Source organism: Homo sapiens, chromosome 8, assembly GCF_000001405.40.
Source record: "Homo sapiens chromosome 8, GRCh38.p14 Primary Assembly".
NCBI classification, from domain to species: Eukaryota; Metazoa; Chordata; class Mammalia; order Primates; family Hominidae; genus Homo; species Homo sapiens.
This window is the reverse complement of record NC_000008.11, coordinates 19454564-19477366: the sequence shown is the minus strand read 5'-3', so window position 1 is coordinate 19477366 and position 22803 is coordinate 19454564. Positions and strand designations below refer to the sequence as shown.

The 22803-nt window shown below is 43.6% G+C and overlaps 1 protein-coding gene across 61 annotated transcripts in view; it reads left to right on the top strand.

The window, feature by feature from the left end:
• The window catches only part of CSGALNACT1 (chondroitin sulfate N-acetylgalactosaminyltransferase 1), a 353748-nt gene that overhangs the window by 280542 nt on the left and 50403 nt on the right, over window positions 1-22803 (top strand). For 56 of the 61 annotated variants that reach the window (NR_148897.2, NR_148900.2, XR_007060745.1 and 53 more), the window contains one exon: window positions 18725-18941. Coding sequence is in view for 53 of the 61 variants with exons in the window: in NM_001354476.2 (NP_001341405.1) it covers window positions 18725-18941 (217 nt within the window). In the remaining 8 variants the exon portion in view is untranslated. Of the gene's footprint in view, window positions 1-18724; window positions 18942-19550; window positions 19838-22803 lie in introns of all 61 variants that reach the window. The other 5 variants (NR_148898.2, NR_148899.2, NR_024040.3 and 2 more) reach the window with 1 other exon arrangement.

The window sequence follows — 22803 nt, the reverse complement described above, 5'->3', positions numbered from 1 at the left end:
TTTGGGGTCTTAGCCACCCATTTGTCCACGTGTTTAGTGGACCCAGAACTTTTTTCTGAGGAAAATCTTTGTCCTACACAGGGAACCCCCACTGCCCAGCTCTATGGGGAGCCTGAGTGGCCTTATGTTCCAGCGCATGCCTGGAGTGGCATAAGAGGATGTTGCTAACACTGAAAGTGCAGTAACTGATAATGGTGGCATCTGCTCTTGATGGACAGCATAGCATATTTACATGTTGTGAACTTGTCAGAGAACATACAGCAAAACTTCTGCCTGCCAGTAATGATCAATTACATGTGTTCCAGTTATTGCTGCATTACAAATCATCTTGGAATTTTAGTGAGTTATTATTACCATTTTCATATGCTGACAGATTCTGCAACTGGGTCAGGAATTCAGAAAGGACACATGGGGATGGCTTGTCCCTGCCCCAGCAGGCTCGGGACCTCATGGGAAGGCCTCATGGGAAAGTCTTGAGGGGAGTGAGTCAACAGCTGAGGTCTAGAATCATCTGAAGGCTTGCTCACTCACATGTCCGGCATCTGGACTGCTGTGACATGAGCACTGGGACTGCTGGCTGGAGTTCCCATGTGTATCCTGTCCATGTTGTGTGGCTTTTTCACCATGTGGCACCCTTGGGGTAGTTGCACTTCTTACATAGAAGTCTGGGTTCCAAAACAAAATATTCCAGCAAACAAGGTGGAAGCTGTGTTGCCTCACTCTCTTCTCTTAGGTCATGCAGTTATAGGCCCCTGTGATTCAAGAGGAGGGGACATTGCCAAAGAATTTGGGCGTCATGACTGATTTGAAAAAAAATATTGGGGAGGCTGGATGTGGTGACTCACACATGTAACCCCAGCACTTTGGGAGGGTGAGGTGGGTGGATCACCTGAGGTCAGGAGTTCCAGACCAGCTTGGCCAACATGGCGAAACCCCATCTCTACTAAAAATAGAATATATTAGCCAGGCGTGGTGGTGGGCACCTGTAATCCCAGCTACTTGGGGGAGGCTGAGGCAGGAGAATCGCTTGAACTCGGAAGGCAGAGATTGCAGTGAGCCGAGATCTTGCCATTGAACTCTACCTAGGCAACAAGAGTGAATCTCCATCTCAAAAAACCAAAAACAAACAAAAAACTGGGGGAGTACACTCAAATTGGCTATGTATTATCTATTCCTATAGGCCAAGTTTTAAAAAATTTCTTAAACTATCATCTGAAAAATGGCCATATTCAGTTGACATCTTATTCAATTGTTTTTATTCTTTAGAGAGGTACAACCTCAGTCATAGGATACATTAATAAAGTTACTGTAGGAATTTTGTAGGGGCGGTGGCTGTCAAAATCCTAAGATTACAATTGTCTTTCTTCTGTTTCATTGCTTCTCGTGGACATGGCAAGTCATGTTTCATTTAGTATCTGTGTTGTTGTGGAAATGGAGGCTTTGAGAATTGACTTTGCCCAAAGTCTTAGAGTAAGTTAATGGTCAAATGGAATGGAAATTCAGTTCTCTCTTTCTCACGTGCCAGGCTGTCTCTGTAAGGCCATTGCTTGGCTTTGTCATCTGAGCTGTCACTCTATGACTTGCCACAACACAGGAGTTTAGCGTGACCAAAACATAGTTTGGCGTTCTGAGCAGATTATTCTGTGAAAAAGGATGTTCCTGTTGGGTTGACAAACCTCATCTTCAGTATTTAAGTTGTTTGCTTGTGTGCTTTTCACCTCAAAGGAAACCACTTTTTACTTACTCGTTGTGTGTCATTATCTTCCCTTGGTGATCAGTGGAGGGTGTGTCTGTGTTTGTGTCTGTGTTTCCAAGGTTGTGGAGGGAAGTGTGGCACAAGATTGATGCTTCTGACTGAAAGCTGTTCTCCGGGGGCTTTCCTTCAAAACTTTATGGTGATTGGAACATACTTTTGTACAGCTTAATATTCAGATTGTTACAGATTTTGTTTTAGCTGTAGGGATTGTCTGAACATAGAAGCAAACCACCAAACCAAGATCCAAACAGACCCCAAAACCCTCGTGGTGGCAAATGGTGAGACCTCCTTATGTGACTCACAGGCTGCCTTCTTGGCCCTTCAGCTTCAGGTCTTACTGCATTCTCTACCTGGTCTATTTCCCAGACTTTCTCGGCTTCTGCATTTTTCTGATTGTGCCATATTCTTCCTCCATACTCTTGTACACTCTGGTCAAGTGGCCTGGAGAATCTTCCTCATCCAACCCCTGTTAAGTGTGCCTGCTCTACAGCTCCTCCTTCTTAACTTAGAGACTCCCCTGTCTGGGTGCCCTTCTCAAAATCTCCCCAGCAGAGTTAGGGATTTCTCGCAGTGCACCCCTGGCCCTGACCACGGTGTTATAGCTGCTCACTTCTGTTTCTGTGCTGCAAATTTGAGCCCTTTCCATAGCAAGGTCTATGTTTTTATTCATCTTTGTATATTCTAGTCTGTTACCAAAAATGGAAGTTGCTTTCTTTTTTTTTTCTTTTTTTTTTTTTTTTTCTGAGACAGAGTTTCACTCTTATTGCCCAGGCTGGAATGCAATGGTGCGATCTCAGCTCACTGCAACCTCCGCCTCCCAGGTTCAAGTGATTCTCCTACCTAGCCTCCTGAGTAGCTGGGATTACAGGCCTGTGCCACCACACCTGGCTAATTTTGTATTTTTAGTAAAGACGGGGTTTTGCCATGTTGGTTAGGCTGGTCTCGAACTCCCGACCTCAATTGATCCACCCACCTCGGGCCTCCCAAAGTGTTGGGATTATAGGTGTGAGCCACCACACCTGGCCGGAAGGTGCTTATTGATGGGTCCTTGAGTGAATAAGTTATTGGATTGATGGGTCAGCCGAAGCATATCTCTCCATTCACTATCATCTGGGCTTTAGTCACTGCCCTTAAGACCCTACAATGATTGCAAGAAATGATATGTTATTTCGATTCCACTTAAAACACTACCTGCTCTATACATTTCCAAATATAAATAAATAAATAATAAATAAGTAAATTTTAAAAATACTGCCAAAGTTTTGATAATAGTTTCCAACTTTCTTTATATTGGAAAGTAGATATTCAAAGGGTAGAGGAAGAATTGGGTCTACAAATGTGCTTTTCACATAGATTGTTTTCCTAGGTTGGTGGGAGTGTTGGTTTCTTTCCCTTTTGAAGACTTCCATGGAGCCCACAGAGACAAGAAATCCAGGCTTTGTTATAGCACCTGTTTAGCTGGCATTGGTCGTAGCTTATCTCTCATCAGAAGCTCCATGGATCTGGACCATTGTTATTATTTATTGTAATGGCTAGTTCTTTTTTACTAAGATTTACTAAAGGCTTACAATGTACCAGTTTGAGATAAATGAATGGTTTCCAAAAGCTAGTCCTCAGACCTCAATTTAATAGGCCCAAGAACCTGTATTTTCTCAAGCTTACCAGTTTCTACTGGCATAGATGAATACAGGTCAATTCATTTTATTATAGTAGAAAATTGTGACCTGTTTTCTGGGCTTATAATTCTTTTCTTGATCTTCAGCTTGCTGTGGTTTCTCTGTCATTTAGAAGTTCCACAGAAATACATATATATTTTCCCCAAATATCCAGTGGATTAAACTTTATAGCCTATTTGTAAAGCTAAAATGAATTTCCACCACTAATTAATTAGATGAGTCATTCCAACAAAACCAATGCTTCTAAGAGACACTACTTTTGACTTTTCTTGAAGTACAAAGCAGTTGATGTTGAGGCTTTGAACAGATACTGTGGTCTAATTTTTAAGACTAGGAAGTGGGAAACCTGAGTCATTAAATATCTTATTTAAGGTGGTAGAAAGTCAGTGGTGAAGCCAGGGTTAGGCTGCAAGTCTGTACCATGGGTGTTGGTCAACCACAGAAGGCTGTCTGGAAGAGCCAGGAGACTCTGTGTGTCTGGGAAGGACCCTGTGATAATCATGTTAGTGACGGCGGATGGTGATGTAGGTGTTATACAAGGCAGGGTTTTACAACTAGAACAGATGATTGGGAGGGGAGATGAAAGGTCATGGTAAGTGACAAAGGGCTTTCGGGTTAATCATTTGAAATTTTCAGTTGATATTATGCATTAGAAATGGGTTTTTCAAGCAATATCAAAAAAATCCTCTAGCAATCTTGCTAAAACATTGCCTTGACCCGAATATTACATATGCTAATTTGTATATCCTGAGGCTTTTTACCAGAATATCAAAAATCTTTACATCTCTGGGTCCACAGTGGCGACTTGAAAAAACTAGCAATTGCATTCTGCTTTCAAGCATATTTAATGCCGGTAGAGCAAGTGAAGTACTTGCTATGGAGTCCTGACCTGTTTGACTGAGAGCAGTAATACATTAAATGATTGATGGAACAAAGTAGAATGACATGATAATAATAGTAAGAACAATTATTATAGTTATTTCTAACATCACTGAGTACTTCCTATGTATCAGGCATGAATGTTTTACATATATTTATTTAATCTTCAAAGTAACCCTATGAAGAAGTATTATTCCATATTTTAAATATAAAGAAATTGATATCAATGAATGAGTATTATATTATCTTACTCTTCAAAGATGAGTTTTAAGACTTTTCTGATATGCTTTGGAAAGTTGATAAGCTTTTTGAAGCATCTTTATGTTTTTCTATTCTCAAGTCAGTCTCAAAAAGAAAGGAAGAACAGAAAAGAAAGAAGAGTTAAAACATCCTTTTGATTGCCGAGTTGATTCACCTTGAAAGAGCTGTACTTTGACATTGGTCTCAGATTCTTACTCGTGTGCCCTTTGGTCTGGGAGCATAGCATTTGCAACCTTGAATTGGTTACTTTAACTTTTTCAAAATGAGTAAATGGCTTACCTCTTTGAAAGATACTTCAAAATCAAGATAATATTTGTGAACAGGGTTTGAAAAATGGACGTGAGTCAGAGTGATGGAAATTTCAGTTAGACTGCACATCCTCTACTTTGGTGGTAAGTTGCATATGGACGAGGTCAATGGTTGGCCAAAGACAATAGCTTGGTCACACATTCCTTGGTCTTTGACCTTTTGGTTCCTGCTTATTGCTTCTGCCTGTATCTTAAGTTTTGTGCTTTCCCACGACATCCTGGATATACATTCGAATGTGTTTGCAGAGGAAGTCCTACAGCTGTTTGGAAACTGGCCCTAATAATGGCAGCTGTGACTTCCCCTCCTTGCATGTTGTTTGTTCTGGAATCTTTGTAGAACTCCCTAATATCTTTGCCTCTACCCTTGCTGACTGGCCTCTTAAACTCCATTGAGTCCAAGTAGGCATCCTGCAAGTGTAATTTCTAACCCTTGGTGTCTTAAGGTAAGATGATGGGAATAGATGGATCTGCCATTTCTTCATTAGAAACCCACAGTTCTTCAACAATAGGAAGTGAAGGTGAAAAAGAGATCTGTGGAGTTGTTTTGAGCAGCCTGATATCTGGGTCCAGCCAGCTCTAGAGACAGCATTGAGGGAGAAAAGTGCAGAGGCCCAGTTTCCAGGACAGCTTCATTCTGGGGCTGTTGATCACCTGGAGCAAGTTAGACTTAAACATCCTCAGAATCTGTTTCTTCCCCATCTCTTCCGTTGAGTTTTCTCACTTCAGCCTTGTTGTTTACTCTCACTGCATCTAAGCTTTCACCCTTTCCTGTCCTTGTACTCTACCTTTCCTTAGGCTCCTCTGCTCCTCTCTCAACCTGGACCCCATAATGTAACCCCTCTGTTACCGGTGGAAGAGATAGGAGTTACCCTGAGTTACCGGCGTCGAACCCCTACAGGTCCACAGCAACTTCAGTCCTTGCCGCCTCAGAAGAAAGAATTCGACTGAGGGGCATGAAGCAGAAAAACAGACTAAGGCAAGTTTCAGAACAGGAATGGAAGTTCATTTTAAAAGGCTTTAGAACAGGAACGAAAGGAACATTCACTTGAAAGAGACCCAAGTGGGTACCTGAGGGTCCAAGAGAGAAAAGAGAGCAAAAGAAGACAGGAATGAAAAAAAAGAAAAGGAGGGAGGGAGACCTTTAAACTTGATCCTGGGATTTTATAGGCTCGCCTCTTCCCCATGATTCACCCCTTAGGGTAGGCTTTCCGCATGCGCAGTGTTCTCCTTACCCTTTGGCATTGAGCAAGCGCAGTGCGTTTAGTGAGTGATACGCATGCCCATTGGAGGCTTTCTTCCCTTTTCCGGTGGAGTGTGCCCCAAGATCATACTTCACCTTTTTTTTTCTCTCTCTCTCCCCTCTCTCTCCTTTTGTTTTGTTGTTTTGTTTTGAGACAGAGTCTTGCTCTGTTGCTCAGGCTGGAGTGCAGTGGTGTGATCTTGGCTCACTGAAACCTCCACCTCCCAGGTTCAAGCGACTCTCGTGCCTCAGCCTCCCAAGTAGCTGGGATGATGGGTACCCACCACCACGCCCAGCTAATTTTTGTATTTTTAGTAGAAACGGGGTTTCACCACATTGGCCAGGCTAGTCTGGAACTCCTGACCTCAGGTGATCCGCCCACCTCAGCCTCCGAAAGTGTTGGGATTATAGGCGTGAACCACCACGTCCAGCGCATTTTTGTCTCTTAACACATGTTCCCAGGACATTGCTTCTCCTTAGGGCCTGCGTTCAGTTAGCATTTTGATGTTAACGGGTGTGGATCATCAGGAAGTGGCCTCTCTGTGGCACTGCCAAATTTTCATTTTTAGAGAGGCAATGAGATGATTGCCGAATCATCCCCTTACATTTCTAGGGTAGAGCCCTCTCCTGCCCCGCTCATGCCCAGCTACCTGTTAACACTTCCGCCACTCGCTTCCCAGTGCCTGCCTTCCTTGCCCTCACACCTGTCTGCAGAGTCCAGTCCAAGCTCAGTGAGTCACCGTCTTGTTTCCTCTGTTGCCTGTGTTCCTCACGCTGCTGGAGAGAAGTCACTGAATGCGCGTGCTGATGTCAGTGCAAATTCATGCTCTCTGGCCTCGCTGCCTGCACCTCTGCGTTGTTTCCCACATCCTTACTCATCTCCGTGCTCACTGTCCCATCCCAGCCTCCAGCACTCCTCATAAACCCATTATTCTACTTTTAATTCCCTCATTCTGTTTCACCAAGAAATTAACGACTTAGCGCCATGAGCTCCTGTGGTTCCTTGCCCCAAGCTTTCTCTATTTGTATCCCTAGCCTTCTGCTCCATCCCCATTGTGGGAACTAGGTAACCCTTCTTTGTCTGATACCAAGTACTTTGCGGGGTTGTAGGTCCCATCCACCTCTCACCTTCTCACTCCGTCCCTGCATCTGTATTATCCATTTCTATTTGTTCCTTTTTATCAGCATATGAAGGAAGTATGTTGCTTTTTCCAATATTTTTAAAAAACATTCTGTCAACTCGGTAATTCCTCTGATTTCTACCCTATTGCATTTATTCCCTTTTTAGCCAAGCACCTTCCCTTTCTTCTTCCCTCCCTCCCTTTCTCCTTCTGTGAAGCAAATATTCATTAGGGTTGCAGACACCAAGTTCTGGTTTCACAGAGTGTACCTTCCCATGGCAGGAAGAGTAACGCATAGATAAGCAGTAAACACATTCAGATAATGTGCGATGAAAAACCCAGAATGGGGTCGTGTGAAAAGGTAACAGAGAGTGTCTGTGGGATGGTGGGGGGCTTCAGAGACTGAGAGTAGGTAAAGCCTCATTGAGGAGGTGGCTTCAGGGCGGAGACCTACATGGTAGGAAGGATGTAGCCGTGCCAGACCTGGGGAAGTGTCCCAGACAGAGCAGAAAGAAAGGGCAGAGGTTCTGAAGTGGGAATAAACTTGACATTTTCAAGGAATTGAAGGAAAAACACTCAACTCACTGCTGCCCCTTCATCCCTTATCATTTTTCAAATCTATCCCAGGCTGTCTTACACCCCTGAAACTTATTGATAAGACTACCTGTGGATGGTCTCCTCCTTGCCCCATCCAGAGGGCTATTTCTTTTTTCTTTTCTTTCTCTTTCTTTTTTTGAGACAGGGTGTTGCTCTGTCACCCAGGCTGCAGTGCAGTGGTGCACACACAGCTTACTGTAGCCTCGATCTCCTGGGCTCAAGGGATCCTCATGCCTGCACCGCCTAAGTAGCTGGGACTACAGGTGCACAGCACCATGCCCTGCTAATTTTTACATTTTTTTCTAGAGACAAGGTCTTGCTGTGTTTCCCAGACTGCTCTCGAACTCTTGGCCTCAAGTGATCCTTGCACCTCAGCCTCCCAAAGTGCTAGGATTACAAGTATGAGCCACCGCACTCAGGGCAGTGGGCCAATTTCATCCTTATCTTAGTTAACCTTGGTGCAGTGGTTGGCACTGTTGAGCAGGCCCTCACTTATCTGTTGGGTTCCTTGATGCTGCTGTCTTCTGCCCCTCTGAGTGCTTCTGTCATTGGGACTTCTCAGTGACCCTTGCACATCCATGCACTGTGCACCTGAAGGTTTGGCATATCCTGAGCCTGCATCCTGAGCTCATTCTTCTTAATCTACAGACTCTTCCTGGCTGACCTGACCCACATCCACAGCTTCAGCTTACACAGTGGGGATGTCTAAATCTGTATGTCTACAAAAGGCTTGCCCGCCAAGCTTCCAATCTACTCATACACCTCTTCAAATCAGCCCGTCCAAAGCTTAGCTCATAATCCCTGTCTCACCTGTAACTCGAGTCAGCCTCCTTTTCTCCCTCTCCCTCACCTGCCATGACATTTTCTAACAACATTCTCTCAAGCTTTTTTCCACCTCCATTGCCACCATCTTAGTTCAGGCTCTTGTCATTTCCTGCTAAACCATCGTGGTTCTTTCCTTGTTGCTCTCTGATCTCGTTCCCTGCCATCATCCACCTGCGCCCCACACTGCTCTAAGGTGAATATCCTGAAAGATCTCACCTCTCCCATGCTAAAACGCTGACCCGGCTCCCCTTTCCTCTAGGACAGGTTTGCACCTGTGAAGGTGACTTAGGGGATCCACATGATGTGACCCCTCGTCCCGCTCCACGTCGGCCTTTCCAGCATTCTCCCATCCCCCCATTCGTGTCTGCCTGTTGCACTCCAGCCTTGCCGAACTGCCTCAAGGTGGCCAAACATAACAAGCTGGTTTTTCTTACCTTTGCTTCCACGATTATCTTTCCTTAAAATGCTCGCTCTGATGTTGTTGTCTTGGCCAACACATGCTCAGTCTTCAGTTCTGGTAAAAAAACATCTGCTATCAAACTGTCCAGACCCTCCAGTAGGTGGAGATGCCCTCCTTTTTGTTCCCTTATACCATGGGCAGACTCTGTTAAGCATTTATCATCTGAGTCCTGTTCTGTTTACCTGTCTTTCTCTCTAGAATGTGAATCCTGAAAGCACAGTGATTTTATCATGTTCATCTTTTTTATTTTTATTTTATGAGACAGGGTTTCACTCTGTTGCTGAGGCTGGAGTGCAGCAGCGCAATCACAGCTCACTGCAGCCTCCAACTCCTGGGTTTAAGTGATCCTCCTACCTCAGCCTCCTGACTATCTGGGACTACAGGGGCATACAACCATGCCTGGCTAATTTTTAGTATTTTTTGTGGAGACAGGATTTCACCATGTTGCCCAGGCTGATCTGGAACTCCTAGGCTCAAGTGATCCACCTGCCTTGGCCTCCCAAAATTCTGGGATTGCAGGCATGAGCCACCCTGCCTGGACCATGTTTATATCTCTGATATAGAATACAATCCATCATTAATATTAGCCATGCGAAAAAAATTAATAAAAAAAAAAACTAACCAGGTCATTTGCATTTGAACTCCGCGAGGCTGGCAGGCCACTTGAGGAGGAACCCAGGCTTCTACTTCAGTGCTGGAATCCTAACCTGCCTTCATTTTCTACTCATTGTTGATTGCCTGATGGTCTTCATGAGGTGAGAAATACATTGCAGTTCTCTGCAAGGGAAGAAGGGCTCTGAAAAGGAAGTCAACTGCTAGTACTGGCCAGGTGAGGTGGCTCACGCCTGTAATCCCAGCACTTTGGGGGGCCGAGGTAGGTGGATCATGAGGTCCGGAGATGGAGACCATCCTGGCAGACATGGTGAAACCCTGTCTCTACTTAAAAAATAAAAAAAATTAGCCAGTCATGGTGGCGGGCTCCTGTAGTCCCAGCTACTCAGGAGGCTGAGGCAGGAGAATACTGTGAAACCGAGAGTCAGAGCTTGCAGTGAGCCGAGATCGCACCACTGCACTCCAGCCTGGGTGACAGAGTGAGACTCCGTCTCAAAAAAAAAAAAAAAAAAAAAAAAAAAGTCAGCTGCTAGTACCAATGGTGAAATGAGAAGGCACTCTAAGTGAGTTCTTAGACATTTCTGATGGATTAGGAACCAGATACTGGATTTGTCAGCCTGCATCTATGACATAAACAAATACACAACAAATGCAGTGTAGAGAAATAAGAAAAGGGGTTGTATGAATTTCTTCAGCAAGTCTACCAGTCGCTGCAACTATTTCTTATCAGGTAAAAGAAACTTTCAGTGGCAGCTGAAACAGAAATAAAACCAGTGAGGACAAGTCCAGAGCCACTGAACATAGGTGAACTGTGATGCACGGGAAAGTAGGGACATTTCTGTGGCCCCACATGTGAAGACAGCCTTCAAGTAGATAATTTCTGTTGCATTTCATGGGGTGAGTGATTTGCCTTCTAGCGTCTGAGCATGTGAGGATTTATAGCAGTCTTAGGACATCTCTTCCACAAATGTCACAAGTTTACTACTTTACCTATAAAAACAGCTGACAGGTGATGGCACTGTAATAGTGTCTCATTTATCTCATGTGATCTGGGAATGCGATATGCCATCTGAGCAGAATTTTCTGGATAAGTGAGACAACAAAATAGTATAAAAAATAAAAAATACTATTTTAGAGTAAAATACTAAGCATTTACCGGTTCCTTTTTTGAACAGAGTAAGCAGAATGTGTGTTTATGGTGCAAAGCGTAAACAGATTTGTGCTATTGCGGGGATGTCTTCATAGGCAATTTACATGGCTGAAGTGTTTTTTCTTTATCTTAAATGATCATCGCTTCTCAGCCTTTTGGCTAAGATGAAGTATATTAAATGATTTCAGACACTGATAATTAAAAGAAAGTAGTGTTTTGCCCTCTCCCTTCTGTCAGTTGGTTGCCTGACAGTATTTACCACTCTCAGCATTTCTGCCTGTTACAGATTTTCTTTTCCCAAATATTCTTTGTTTTCTTGTTGAACATGTATATTTTTTTTCCATTAAAAATCCCCCCTTTCAAAATTTACCCTTTTCAGTGTGTTGGAGATTGGAACTTCAGATAGCTTTTACTTAAACAACTGTCAAAATTCTATGGTAAGGTTAAAGGAATTCTGTAAGGGTAGGTGTGAGGGTTATCTCTGGGTACAGTGAGTTTTGCTACAGACTTTACCTTGTTTATTCTGACTTCTTGGATGCTCTTTTCATGATCTGGATTCTTTTCTATGTGCTGAGTTATCTTCTTCTGCATATGAAAAGTGACTCCAGGGGGTAAATCCTTCAGTGGGGGTTTATCCCAGGCCTTCATTGACCAGTTAGGCTAACACAAGCGTATCACATCTTCTCTGGGTCTCATTTTGCTCATCTGTGAAATGGTAAGCCTGGACAGGGGGATGCCCAAGATCTTTTCATGTTGTCAGGTGCCCAAACAGTAGTTTAGGAAGAGAGTTTAAAGCTCTAAGACAGAAGTGCCTGAAGAAGAGAGACGGCTTTGCATTGAGAATGTCCTGGGAATCTTCCCATAGCAGAAGGATCAGATTTAAAAGGGGAAGGTGGAAGCATAGACATGTGCATGGGCTGTGTCTGTGAGAAACTGCTAGACTTTTTCAGAGGACAGCAGTTATGGTGGTCAATACGTATAGCATTCACCATTTAAAGCATTTTTTAGTGGACAGTTCAGTGGCCTTAAGTACATTGACATTCTTGCGCATCCATCACCACCATCCATCTTCAGAGTACTTTCATCTTCTCAAACAGAAACTCTGTACCCATTAGACACTCACTCCCCAGTCCCTGCTTCCCCAGCCCCTGGCAACCTCTATTCTACACTCTGTCTCTCTGAACTTGACTACTCTAAGTACCTCCTATCAGCGGGATCTTACAGTATTTGTCTTTTTGTGACTGGCGCATTTCACTTAGCATAATGTCTGCACGATTCATCCATGTTGTAGCATGTATCCGAATTTCCATGCTTGTTAAGGCAGAATGGTACTCTGTTGTATGGGTGGACCACATTTTGTTTATCCATTTATCTGTTGATGGGGGTGTGAGTTGTTTTTATCTTTTGGCTTTTGTGAATAATGCTGCTGTGATCATGAGTTCATAAGTATCTGTTAGGACCCCTGTTTTTAATTCTTTGGGATATAGACCTAGAAATACATAGAATTGCTGAATCATATGGTATTTCTATGTTTAACTTTGTGAGGAAGTACCAAACTGCATTCCGCAGTGGCTGCACCATGTTGCTTCCCGCCGGTAGTGCACAGGATTCCAGTTTCTGCAACTGGAGAAAGTTGTCGGCAGTCCCTAACCTTCTTGGCACCAGGCACCAGTTTTGTGGAAGACAATTCCACAACAAGGGGAAGGTGGTGGTTTTGGGATGAAACTGTTACATCTCAGATCATCAGGCATTATTTCAATTCTCATAAGGAGCATACGCCCTACATCCTTTACATGTGCAGTTCACAGTAGGGTGTTAAGAATGTAATTCTGACAGCAGGCAGAGCTCAGGCAGTCATGCTCACTCACCCACTGCTCCCCTCCTTCTCGGCAGCACAGTTCTGAACAGGCCACGGACTGGTACCATTCCGTGGCTTGGGGACCCCTGGAATCAGTAGTTATATGTGCTTAATATAAACCAGCTTGATTGGTGCCCAGATTTTGTAAAAGGCAAGAACAAGACTTGAAACTAGTACAGTAGGTGGGGCCCTGATTACGGAGCATCTTGAAGGCTGGACTGTGGTATCGATACTTTATTCTGTGGTATGGGATGCTGGCGAGAACTTTGAGCTAGGGAGATGTGGGGTTTGAGTGGTGCTGTGAACACATAAGGGCCAAAATATATATGTGTGGGACCGACTGGGCCCCAGAGGCCAGGATGTGGGTTGGCAGATGCTTCTTGTTATCCAGCTGGGAGACCTTGGCTCCATGTAGGAAGGTAGGGAAGGCAGGGATGAATGTGGAGACTGAGAATGAATGTGGGTGAATGGGGACTGTTGAGAATGAGTGTAATGTGTAACGTTTTGCAGGCAGAAAGTTTAAAGAGAAATTCTGCATAGGCTCAGTAGTGTGACATCTGTCACAACCCGTCTGCACGCATGTCAGTGGGGGCGGGGAATCTGAGTCAGGAGTGGTGCCTTTCTTATCCCTTGTCAAGGTCCTCAGTTGAAGACAGGGCACAGAGAGGGGTCTGCACCTGGTTAGCTCCTGGCCTACTGAAGGAATAGACATTTGTGTGAATAGATTACAGATCTCTGTCTTGGATACATGGAGATGTCCCCACCTAGTTGGGGGTCTTAGATCCTGGCCCATTGAGTAGGAAAAGACCGGCATTGGGATACTTGCACAAGGAGTAATTACACCAAACTCAAAGAAAGCTTAGCATTTATGGAAGGGAGGAAAGACACGGAGGTGCCAGGTAGGGTGTTTAAACAAAGATCTAAGCTAGCTCCAAAGTCCTGATTTTGATCTTTAATTTGCATAGTGCACGAAATGATGCTGTTCTGCACAAGATGACAAGGAAGATGTTTGTGGGGCTGCTTTGCTTTGTACTTGCCATTTGCATGTGTCAGCTTACTGGCTGAAAAACCATTCCTGCCTTGGAATACTTTCCCTTCCCTCACCACCCCTCCCCCCATGCCCAAGTTTGCTCTGTTCCTTTGTGTTTCCACCAATAAAGAGCTCCAGGAGGCAAAAGGATTTTTTTAGGTGTCGTCCTTTGTGTTTAAAGAAGACCAACTGAAAGTTGCTCCCTCTGTGCAGGGATGGGAATGTGTGCCTGTGGGTATGGTGGGTGGATGGCTGGGTATGGCTTTTGCTGGACTTAGGTTGCAAGAGAGTTTTAAATAACGTTTTTAAAAGAGATGAAATTGTGCTATTCACAATAGCGAAGCCATAGAATCAACCTAGATGCCCATCAGCAGTGGACTGGATAAAGAAAATGTGATACTTGTATACCATGGAGTACTACACAGCCATGAAAAAAAGAATGAAATCATGTTCTTTGGAGTAACAGGAATGCAGCTGGAGGCCGTTATTCTAAGTGAATGCAGAAACCGGAAACCAAATAACACATGTTCTCACTTGTAAGTGGGAGGTAAACATTGAGTACACATGGGCACAATGAAGGGAACGTTAGACACTGGGGCCTAACTCAGGGTGGAGAGTAGGAGGAGGGTGAGGATTGGAAAACCACCTATTGGGTACTATGCTCTATGCTGTTTAGCTGGGTGACAAAATTATCTGTACACTAAACCCCTGCAACATGCAGTTTACTTGTGTAACAAACCTACACATGTTCCTTCTGAACCTAAAAGTTGAAAAAAAAAAGAAAACTGATGAAATTAAGGGATCCCAAATCAGATTGATAGGATATAATGAAAATAATTAGCAGAGTATAGAGAAACCAGCTAAAAAATGGATGTAATGACTGTTGCAAGGCATGGTATGTGGAAGACAGAAAGCAGCATAAATTGTGGTGTGTGGGGTGAGCCTGGGTGCTGTGACCTTCCTGATGGGCAGTGTGCCATACCTGGAACCACTGACCATGGCTGGGGATCTCTGTCACCCTGGGCTGATGATGCAGGCACCTCCAAGGCAGCTGGCATTCTGTATTCATAGGAGTTGTTATGAATAAGATTTACTGCATTCTCTAGGTTCTTCATAAATAGATGTCCATCTCTTGAGACAGGTTTAGGTATATTGCTATCTGTATTTTCATCTCTGTGGATTTTGATTTTTAAAAGTTAATGATTCTTAACCTGCCTCTGAGTAAATGACTTCATTGGGAAAAAAAAATCATTCCTCTGCCTGCATACATTTTTATCTGTACGTTAAACTGTCAGCTGCATTTTCTGTGTTTATGACTGTGTGGAGAAGTTATGCTACTGACATGAATAACAGAAACTCAACGAGATGCAGTCACCCACACGGGGAGACCTGTTTCAGTTGTGCAGATATGGCCTCTGTGGCGAATATGGCTCCTCTGCAGTTAGGCCCTCTCTGGTGAATGTGGATGCTTTGCAGATACACCGCCTGTGACAAACGTGGCTGCTGTGCAGATACCATCTGTGGTGAATGTGGCCGCTGTGCAGATACACCCTCCACGGCGAATGTGGCTGCTGTGTGGATAGGCCCTCCATGGCAAATGTCGTTGCTGTGCAGCTATCCTGTCCATGGTGAATGCGGCTGCTGTGCAGATGCGCCCTCTGTGATTAACGTGGGTGCTGTGCGGATACACCCTCCATGGTAAATGTGGCTGCTGTGTGGATACGCCCTCCATGGTGAATGTGGCTGCTGTGCAGATACACCCTCCATGGCTAATGTGGCTGCTGTGGGGATACGCCCTCCATGGTGAATGTGGCTGCTGTGCAGATACGCCCTCCATGGTGAATGTGGCCGCTGTGCGGATACGCCCTCCATGGTGAATGTGTGTGCTGTGCGGATACGCCCCCCATGGTGAATGTGGCCGCTGTGCGGATACGCCCCCCATGGTGAATGTGGCCGCTGTGCGGATACGCCCCCCATGGTGAATGTGGCCGCTGTGCGGATACGCCCCCCATGGTGAATGTGGCCGCTGTGCGGATACGCCCCCCATGGTGAATGTGGCCGCTGTGCGGATACGCCCCCCATGGTGAATGTGGCTGCTGTGCGGATAGGCCCTCCTTGGTGAATGTGGCTGCTGTGCAGTTATGCCCTGCATAGTGAATATGGGTGCTGTGTGGATACACCCTCCATGGTGAATGTGGCTGCTTTCAGACTCAGCCCCACCTCATTTGGGCCCTGGGAGTTGGTGGTTCACCTTGTGATCCCAGACAGCATCAGAGATGGGAAAAGAGCCTGTTGCCTCAGTGAGCACTACATTCCTGAAGGAATGAACCGTCTTTGAAGGGAAACACTTAACGTTTTCAAAGAAGTCCTTTGAGCTTTCTAAGAAATGAACCTTCTTTTCTTCCATGGCTTTTCCCTCTGGGACTTTGAAATCTTTTCCAACATGAGCTCAGCAAAACTCTCAGCTTGCCTGACTTTGAGGGCAGTCAAGCAGGATACCCTTTTACTCAACGCATTGGTGAAGGCTTCCAAAGGGAACTTAGTCCTTGTAATTCCTCCGTGTCTCGGCCTTTAAATAGCTGTGTTCACTGCTGGGGAACTGTGGGTTTGGGTTTTCAGGTGGGGCTGTGAGGACAGCAGGGAGACACGAGACTACCTTGGAAACTCACAGGACCACACTCCTCTCTGTGGCACCTCAAAGAAATCCAATCTTTGAACAGGATCAAAGAGGCTATAAAACCAGTGCTATAGGATGAAAAGCTCCCAGAAGGCAAAAAACAGAGAAGAGAACTTGCGAGGAAGACATGTAGTTCCCACAAAAGAGAAGAAGAGGGAGAGTGAGCAAGAAAAAAGGAGGGGTTTGTGAGAGACCTTGAGAAACTGTAACTGACTCTAGGCAGGAGAGAAATCTATTTATGTACCTTTCAAACTGTATTCCATTGCCGTGTCACTGTAACTGAAACTCCACACAGTGTCACTTGTCAGATTTCTCCCTGGAGATTGATTTCTGTAGCCAGTCAGTGACTGGGAGGTGCATTCTTGGTTCACTGTGGGGATTAAGGAGACATGAATAGAATCCATGGTACTGTCATTCACCCTCATCCTGGGGGATACATTCCAAGACAACAGTGGATGCCCAGAAGCATAGAGAGTTCTGAACCCTAGCTATTGTATGTTTTTCCCCATACATACATACCTGGGATAATGTTTAATTTATAAATTAAGCCCCCAGAAAGAGATTAACAACAATAACCAATAACAAAAGAGAATAATCATAACAATATAAGGTAATAAAAGGTATGTAAACATGGTCTCTTTCTCTCTCTCTCTCTCTGTGTCTCCCTGATTCTCTCTCACTCTCAAAAGGTATTGTACTTCAGGTAACTGAAATGGCAGAAAGTGAAACTAGAAAATGGGGACTGCTGTATAACCCAAAAGCTTTTCTGATTTGTTGGGTTTTACCTTTGTAATGTGTGTGTGTGTATGTGTGTGTGTTTCCTGACTGTAGAGAAAACATTCATAATACCAGAGACAGTGGAAGGAAATGGATCTTTAGGCATGAGGGAAATCATTTGATCCTTACATTGGGAAATTCTGTCACCTAGACCCTAGGGAGGCTTGTTCTGAGAGGGCAGCTGAGATGCTGAGTTCATATCTTCAACCTGACAAGTGACACTCTGTGGAGTTTCAGCCACAGTGACATGGGATGAGACACAGTTTGCACGGTCCCTAGACTTCTCTCCTGCCTCTCTACCTTCTCAGAGAAAGGGGAGTTGTGAAGATGGCTAACATTTATCGAGGGTTTATTGCATGCCTTGTACTGTTCTAACTTCTTTCACATACAAAAACATTCACTCCTCACAGTAACCTTTGGGGAAAATGAGGCACAGGAGCATGAAGTAATTTTTCAAAGCAAACCTGTGGGGCCAGGATTTGAACCCAGGCAGTTTGGCTTGATAGTTTGTGCTCTGATTCCCTGAGTCATGCTGTTTAGAGATGGGAAGGAAGATATGAAACTAAATATCATGTATTGATACCACTGTACTGAATATTTTATGTGTTATTTTAATGCTTCTAGAAGCTTCCAGAGGGTCCCCCAACCCATGTGACCAGAACTGAGCTACTCCCAGGGGTCCCAAATAGATTACTATGGTCAGTTCATCTGAAATGGACATAACTTCTTTCCTTTTTTTTTTTTTTTTTTTTTTTTTGAGATAAAGTTTCGCTCTGTTGCCCATACTGGAGTGAAGTGGTACAAACTTGGCTCACTCCAACCTCTGCCTCCCGAGTTCAAGCGATTCTCCTGCCTCAGCCTCCCAAGTAGCCAGGGTTACAGGCGCACAACATGACGCTCTACTAACTTTTGTATTAGTAGAGATGGGGTTTCACCATAGTGACCAGGCTGTTCTCAGACTCTTAACCTCAGGTGATATGCCCACCTCAGTCTCTCAAAGTACTGGGTTTATAGGCATGAGCCACTGCGCCCAGGCTGAAGTGGTTTAATTTCTAAGACATAATTTTATTGCTGATTTTTAAAATTAAGTATAATTATTTTAATATTCTTCAAATCATATTGCAGGAAATTTGGATACTAGAAGAAAAGAAAAAAACACATAATCCCACTCTATATCATAGTCAGTCTTATTTTGGCCTGTTTCCTAAAAATCCTTTTGCAAATGCCTCTGTATCCTATGAATACAGTTTGTATCCAGCATTTCAAGCTTTTTCCCATGTTTTTATGCAGTCTTCATAACTGTGATTTTAAAATTCATGCTATTTTGACTTCTTTTGGAATTTTTTAATTGGGAGCATTTTGAATTTTCGAATAATTGTTGGAGAGATTTCATCTTAAACACTTTTTAAAGGCATTCTGTGCTAGATCTCGGTTGAAAAACACTCAGCAGCCAAGGTTAATTTTTAGAACTATCTTTCCTTGTTTTTCTCTTAACAGGGATCTACCGAACAGAAAGGGACAAAGGGACATTGTATGAGCTCACCTTCAAAGGGGACCACAAACACGAATTCAAACGGCTCATCTTATTTCGACCATTCGGCCCCATCATGAAAGTGAAAAATGAAAAGCTCAACATGGCCAACACGCTTATCAATGTTATCGTGCCTCTAGCAAAAAGGGTGGACAAGTTCCGGCAGTTCATGCAGAATTTCAGGTTGGTTTGTTCGCACGTGTTTATCTTCCTCCGCATGATGTGTGTTAGAACACTGATATCATTTCCCGTCATCTCCTTCATTTCCCCTGCCGAGTACAAAGCCTCCTTTCTCTTATTCAGCTCTGTTTTCTCCACGTAAAGTTTATCATTTGTATTTGCCTTTCCCTAGAGCAATTAGAAAACTGCCTTACAAGCATATTGACCTTCAGAAGTGAAAAGCAGGAAGGACTGGGTTTTCACCAGGATCTACAAAGATGACTGAATGCCTGTTATGTTCATTCTGACTTGCGGAGGGGCTCAGGTTTGGGGATAGCAGGAACCAAGACTCCCAGGCAAGTGAGCAGCCTTGAGTCTTGAGGAGGAGAGAGGAGCTGGTGGTGGCAGAGCCCACGTTGACAGTTGGCGAGCTATGCAAGGTGTTCTTGATTGGCTCTAGGCTGCCTTCACCTGCTGTCCTGTTCTAGTGGTGGCTGCAATGCATTGAATCCAAATCTATCTTTTATTGTAACCTGCATCATCTTAGACTTAAGTGTAGAATTATACCAAGAAGGTTTCAAGCCCACATTTTTGTAGCTACTCAATGAGACTAAGCTGGGTTTCATTTTTCAGGCCTGCTGATGAAGTTTTTAGATGTGTGCCTTTAAGCCCTTGATTGTGCGGTGTTGGATCTTAGAAGCTGTGATGGCTCAGATGCACATATTGGCTGAGGATAACCAGCTAAGTGATTTCACCAGCTTGTTTTAAACATAGAAAATCCTACTGTCTAATTATAAATCTTGAAAGATCAAGCTGATTTTTTATTTCTTTTTTTTTGAGATGGAGTCTTACTCTGTCACCCAGGCTGGAGTGCAGTGGCACGAACTCTGCTCACTGCAACCTTCACCTCCCAGGTTCAGGTAATTCTCCTGCCTCAGCTTCCCAAGTAGCTGGGATTACAGATGCCCATTACCATGCCCGGCTAATTTTTGCATTTTTAGTAGAGACCGGGTTTCGCCATTTTGGCCGGGCTAGTCTTGAACTCCTGATCTCAGGTGATCTGCTCACCTCGGCCTCTCAAAATGCTGGGATTACAGGCGTGAGCCACCGTGCCCAGCCTTGATTTTTAATCTTAGTAAATTTACATTATTGAAAGGCATAATGTTCAGTATAAGGGTGTGGTTGATACCTTTCAAAATTCTGGTTCATGAGCGTACTCTGTTTGAATTTAAAGGATAACCCACTTATAACTAAGTTTTTTGAAGATTAGAATCAAATAGTCTTAGACCTTTGAGGTCATCTGGTCTAATCTTCCCTTAATTGAGACTGTCTTTCTGACGTAGGGTTCTCTAGGCAATGTGTGTGTGCACCAGGAAGCTGCCTACATTACTAGTCAAGCTGCTGCTTTGTTGATCATCTCTGGATAGGAAGTTCTTTATTGTTTATGCCTGAAGTCGGCTTCCATGTCTTTTCTGCCTGGTGGGTCTAATTCTAGCCTCTGGAGGACTGAACAAGTCTATTTCTTCTTAAACATCATAAGTTTTCAAATATTTGAAGGTGGTCATCACAACTCCCCTAGTCTTTTCTTTCCAAGGTATAGCAGTTCTCAATTCCCTTAGCTTTTTCATATTCCCTAGTTCGTAAATTTCTTTTAATTAGCTGGAGCTTGCCTTTAGCCATGATGTAATCCAAAGTAGAGTGGGCTAATAGATTGATCTTTTCCCAGTTTGTAGAATACTCCTTTGTGCATGATCGCATAATTGTTTGCAGTGTTCCTCTGGCTCCAGTCCTGAAGTGAGTGTTTTTATAGTTTTGGCTTCTTTCAACCTTCTTTTAGTGTTTTTGCTCTCTTTCTCTGTAGGTTTTCCCTTTGGAATGGCACAGTGCCGCTGGTTGATTAAACATTACATCTCCAGAATGACTGAACCTGCGGCGTTCTGAATGCAGTTGTTGAACCTGAATGTGGTTTGCATTAGGCATTAAGTGAAATCATTACTCTCAGCAGCTAGAATGCCCATTTCTAGGACGAGGTTATCGCAAGTTCATTTGGCAAAGAAGCTGCCTATGTCTTACTGGGTTCAGGGTCCTGAGCTTTGATTCTCTGAGTCCTTGGACATGTTAGGCTTGCTGAGGTGGTGCTTACACTAAAGAAGTATCTGCTCGGTGAAAGGACAAGTCCTCACTGTAGGACTCCTGGGCCTGAAATAGCAGGATTCTCTTGGGTATATATGAACAGCTATTTCCTTAGTGTCAGCAGAATTTTAAGCAATTAACAATAGCAATAAAACAGGAAAACAGGAAGGGAAGTTTCATTGAGAATAGTCAAATGAGTAGCTTACAAGCCTCAAAACGGGTGAAATGAAACGTGATTCCAGTTAATGTTTTAAAAGAACACAAAAATCCCAGGGCAGTTTGCCTTGAGCTGATTCATCTCAGCCCACCATATGGACTTTTACTATTTGGATGTCCCTTGCTCGTGGAGGTAGGAAGGGATGGGTGGCGGAAGACTTGTGACCTGGAGAGGATGTTTTGAGAGCCTTTTGCATGTGCTAGACATGCTACCAAGGTGCAGGGGATCAGAAGATGAATTGAAGATGCGGTGCCTACTTTCACTAATAGCAGAAGCTGCAAATGCAGAGCCAGGCGCTGTGGCAGAGATACAGACAGGGGACAATGGGACACAAAGAGAATCTGGCCAGGACAGCTGACACTGGAGCAGGAGGCTGAGTAGGGAGTTTATGTCACAGTCAAGGCATTTCTGAGACTGTTGATGTCTCTGAAAAACTGGGATGCGAGAGGGTAAATACCTGTGGGTATTTAATGCTTCATAAAACCTTATTAAAGATGGCATTTCAAACCCAAAGAAGGGGTTATTCAGGGCATGGTGTCAGGACAACTAGCCAAACATAGCAGAAAAAAATGTGATTCTTATTTCACACCAAAAAAGCAAAGTAAACTCCAATTAAATAATTAAATGCAATTAACATGACCATAAAGTTACTGGGAGAAAATATAAAGGGCTGCTTAATAAATATTTGATGTTGTCTTTATAAATTCCTTTCCATCCCCAGACTGGAGACTGTGAACTGTGGTTGACACTGAGGATGACACTGGAAGCGATTTGTATTTCCTTTTTTGCCTCTGTTTTCTAAATATTTATATAGCTACCATATGTTTTATATTTTGTTTAAAGATTCAGTGAAAGATTATTTTTGGATTTTATAATTTAAACATGACTTTTTAGTTTGTAAAAGGTAATACTTGGCTATTATAAGATGTTTAAGCAGTGTAGAACAGCACGAGGAATAAATTATTTAAAAAGTCACTCCAGGTCTCACCTCCTAGAATTAACCCTTATTAACATGAGTTGAACATCACTTTGGGCAATTTTCTTTGCATATCTGCAGATAGAAGAATTGCTTGCCAGCTGGGAATAAGTCAGTGCAACATGAGATATACTATACATTCTATTTCTACTTATAGAATTAAAATGTATCTTGCTTAAATTTATAGAAAAAAACCGGAAGTATAATAAAGGATTTGCTGAACTTTAAGAAAATGTGTCTTCACTGTGAGAGACATTAGTTCCCAAGAGATCTCGCTGAAGTTAAAAAGTGATTTTTGCAAAACAAAAAGTGGTTGGAAATATTTTTTTTTTTTACTACATTTTGTAAGTTTGATTGAAACATTTCAGTACAAAACGAAATCAGCACAGCTACACTTTCTGCCTTCTGTGTCTCATCTTCTGATTTTTGTTAGCAATCATTTATTTATTTATTTTGAGACAGAGTCTCACTGTCACCCAGGCTGGAGTGCAGTGGCAGAACCTTAGCTCACCACAGCCTCCATCTCCCAGGTTCAAGCGATTCTCCTGCCTCAGCCTCCC